We start from the raw sequence: 4297 nt of genomic DNA on the forward strand, positions 1-4297 counted from the left end.
AAACCCTTGAGGTGATTCTGATCATACCAGTGTTTGAGAACCAAGCGGTCAGGTACTAGATAAAGGGCCGCTTTAATAGTATGGTGGTAGAAGGGCTGGGAGAGAGAGAAAAGATACAGAAATAATAAGAAGACATAATTGACAGATGTAATAATGAATTATTTGTGAGAAAAAGAGAGTCTAGGATAATTCTCAGATCTTTGGCTGCAGTGACTATTTCATTATGATACCACTCACTGAGATAAAAGGAAGAGGGTCAGGTTTCAGAAAATAGGAAGGACTTAGTTTTGGTATAAATGAAAACCTAGACAAAGATCTCCAGTTCTCCATTTACACCTTTTTCTTGCCTTCAGATGTTTAGAATCTTTTAATGATAAATTCTTAAAATATTATGAATTGTGAATATTGCGAAAGTGTTTATATTTTATCTGATCAGCTGAATGTAATAAGATTGATGCTACCCCAACCTATCTATATACCTTCCTTACATTCGAGATACTTAATCCATCAACCACAAAGGAAAATTAAAAACCTAAAGTGATAGGTAGTGGGACAGGATGATTGGAATCAACTGTAACTACTAGAGGACTAAAAAGAGAAAAAGGGAGAAGGGGTTGAGGTATGAGTCAAGAGGAAACAAGAACTTTCTTGGCTATTCCTATTATGTTATTTTATTTATATATTATATACCTTATATAATATAACATAGATAATAAAAATAAAAGAATAGAAAATATTTACTAAATGTATATCACATAAGTTGCATCTATAATATATAAAGAACATTCTAAACTAAATAATAAGATAACCCAATTCAAAAAGTGAGCAAAAAATATTTAATTACAGAAGAGATATCGATAAGACATAAGCACATGAAAAGATATCCAACATCATCAGCAAACAGGAAAATGCAATTAAAACACAGTTAGATATTACTACATACCTATCAATATGCTGATGCAGAACAACTGAAACTCTTATAAATTGCTGGTGAGAATGCAAAATTGTACAATTATTTTGGAAAATTGTTTGGTAAGTTCTTAAAAAGTTAAACACATACTTATCATACAACCCATAAATCCCACTCCTAGGTCTTACCCAAGAAAAATAGAAACAATGTACTTGCAAAGACCTACATGTGACTACTTGTAACATCTTTATAACATCTTTATTCATAATTACCCAAAGCTGCAAACAACACAATGGCCAACAACTACTGAATGGATGAACAAATTGTGGTATACCCATAGAATAGAATACAACTCAGCGTATACAGGAAAAATCTTACTGATATATACAGCAATAAGGATGACTATCAAATCTTCTTGCACTAACAAAGGTCTGTTCTCCTTAGCCAAAGGACCAGGAAAGGAGAAGCCTAGCAAGACAGAAAGCTTATAGACAATAAATAGTCTACTCTAGCCAAATATTTAAAATCTTGGCTTTGTCTCCATCCATGCTAGAAAAGGCTGAATAAAGAGCCTAGACTTCCATCCTCACCAGATGCCCAACACACTGCTAGGGTGATGTCAGAGGAGGCCACCCTAAGACTAAAAGTGTCACCCCCAACCATCCTGTAATAACACCCTAGCCTATGGTGTTAATAGCTCCAGCCCTACCCAGCTGTAATGAGATATTCCTCTCTCTCCCTGCAGGAATGTCATCAGAGATGACCTGGTGGAGAGTCGGGACTTCACCATCATCCATTGATTAAGCCACTGTCCACATGGAATCAGTCAAGGATGTAGGGAGAGCCAGAACTCCCATTCCCCCCCAGTAGTAATGAGGAGACCCCCTTAAAGGCTGAGTAAGAAACCTGGAATTAACAAGGTCGTGAGCTCCATTCCTCAGGCAGAACAACATCAGAGAAACCCAATTAAAGTAGGAGATCTATAGTCTCATAATATAATACAAAAATGTCCAGGTTTCAATTTAAAAAATCACTCATCATACCAAGAACCAGAAATATTTATCAACAGAATGATAAAAGACAATCAGTAGATGCCAACATCAAGATGACACACATGTTAGAGTTATTTGGCAAAGATATTAAAGAAGCCATGATAAAAATGCTTCAACAAGCAATTATAAACATGCTTGAAACAAAAAATAGAAAGCCTCAGCAAATAAATAGGAGATATAAAGAAGAATCCAGTGGAAACTTTAGAACCGAAAAATATAATAGTTGAAATGAAAAAGTTCAGTGGATAAACTCAATAACAAAAAAAGGAGGGAATATAGGAGATAATCAGTGATCCAAAATTTTAAACAATGGAAATTTCCTAATCTGAACAATGAAATAGACTGAAATAAAAAGATGAATAGAGCCTGAAAGACATTTAGGACTAAAGCAAAAGATCTAATGTTGAAGTCATCAGAATCCCAGAAGAAGAGAAGGAAGAGGGTGAGGCTGAAAAAGTATTTGAAGAAATAATGGATGAAAACTTCCAAAATTTGCCAAGAGACATAAGCCTACAGATTCAAGAAGCCGAGTAAGCCTCAAATAGGAAAAATCCAAAAAATACATACCAGGGCATATCACAATTAAACTTGGAAAATGAAATACAAATTAAAATTTTTAAAATTGAAGTAGACCTAAAAAAACACCTTACCTCTAGGAAAAATGAAGCAAATGATAGCAGTTTCTCATTAGAAACCATGGAGGCCAGAAGGAAGTAGCATACTATTTTTCAAGCACTAAAAGAAAAGAACTGTCAACACTGATTAACCATCAACCAAGAGGATCTAATAGACATTTAAAGAATATACCATCCAACAACAGAATACATGTTATTTTTAAATACCTATAGAACATGTATCAAGAGACACCATATCCTGGGCCATAAAACGAACCTTAACAAATTTAAAATAATTGGAATCATACGAACTGTATTCTCTGATTATAATGGAACAAAATTAGAATCAATAACAGAAAGATAACAGGAAACTTTACTCTCAAAACACTCAGAAACTAAACAACACACTTCTAAATAATCCATGGGTCAAAGAGAAAGTCTAGAGGGAAATTTAAAAAATATGCTGAATTGAATAAAAATGAAAACTCGATCTATCAAAATGGTGGAAAGTATCTAACACATTACGGAGAGGCACATTTATAGAACTAAATATATACATTGGGAAAAAGAAAACTTTCAGATCAATAATCTAATCTCCTGCCTCAAGAACCTAAAAGAGCAAACTAAACCTAAAGCAAATAGTATGAAGTAGGTAATTTAAATAAGAATAGACATCAACTGAGAACAAAAAAACTATAGAGAAAATCAACAATACAAAGAGCTGATACTTTGAAAAGATTGATAAAACTGAAAAATCTCTAAACAGACTGATAAAGAATAAATGAGAGAAGATGCAAATTACCTTACCAAACATGGAGCAGAGAGGTCACTACAGACTCTGCAGACATCAAAAGGATAATAGGGGAAAACTAAAAATAACTCCACACAAGTAAGTTTTATAATGTAGACAAAATGGAACCCTTTCTCAAAAAATACAAACCACGACAACTCACATCCAATATTAAATAACCTTAAAATTCAAATAACCTTAAAATTATTAAGGAAATTTAATTCATAATTTAAAAACTCTCAAAAAAGGAATCTCTAGGACCAGATAGTTTCACTGAAGAATTCTACTAAGCATTTAAAGAAGAAGTGACACAAATTCTACAGGATCTTTTCTATGAAATAGAGGAGAACACAATTCATTTTATAAAGCTAGTATTATCCTGACACCAAAAAGAAACAAGGGCAGTACAACAAAAGAAAACTACAGATTATTATCTCTCACGATCATATATGCAAAAATTATTTTTAAGAATAAACAAATGGAATTAAAAGTATACATCATTACAAAGTGGGATTTATTCCAAGAATGTAAGATTTGTTCAATATTAAAAAATAAGCAATGTAATCCAACATATTAAAAAGCTAAAGAAAAAAAATCGCATAATCATGTCAATCAATACTGAAAAAAAGCATTAACAAAGTTTAACACCCGTTTATGATAAAAATTCTCAGAAGAAAATGAGCAAAAGGGAACTTCTTCAGCTTGATACAGAGAATTTACAAAACAAGGGGGGATGATCTGCAGCTAACGTTAGGCTTACTGGTGGAAGGACTGAATGCTTTCCCCTAAGACTGGGGGCAAGGTAAGGATGTTCACTCTCACCACTCATATTAAACAGGGTGCTGAAAGTTCTAGCCAATACTGTAACACATGAAAGGGAAAAAAAGATGTATAAGATTGGAAAGGAAGAAATAAAACTGTCCATATTTGC

The 4297-nt window shown here is 33.1% G+C and overlaps 1 annotated feature.

Annotated features, from left to right (window-relative positions):
• Window positions 2966–3558: an enhancer, noted in NCBI's record as "NANOG hESC enhancer chr6:117407945-117408537 (GRCh37/hg19 assembly coordinates)". NCBI's record gives its function as "activates a minimal SCP1, AML or CMV promoter by ChIP-STARR-seq in primed H9 embryonic stem cells {active_cell/tissue: H9 hESC(primed)}" and the evidence as "EXISTENCE:reporter gene assay evidence [ECO:0000049][PMID:30033119]".

Source organism: Homo sapiens, chromosome 6 (assembly GCF_000001405.40).
Source record: "Homo sapiens chromosome 6, GRCh38.p14 Primary Assembly".
Lineage (NCBI taxonomy): Eukaryota > Metazoa > Chordata > Mammalia > Primates > Hominidae > Homo > Homo sapiens.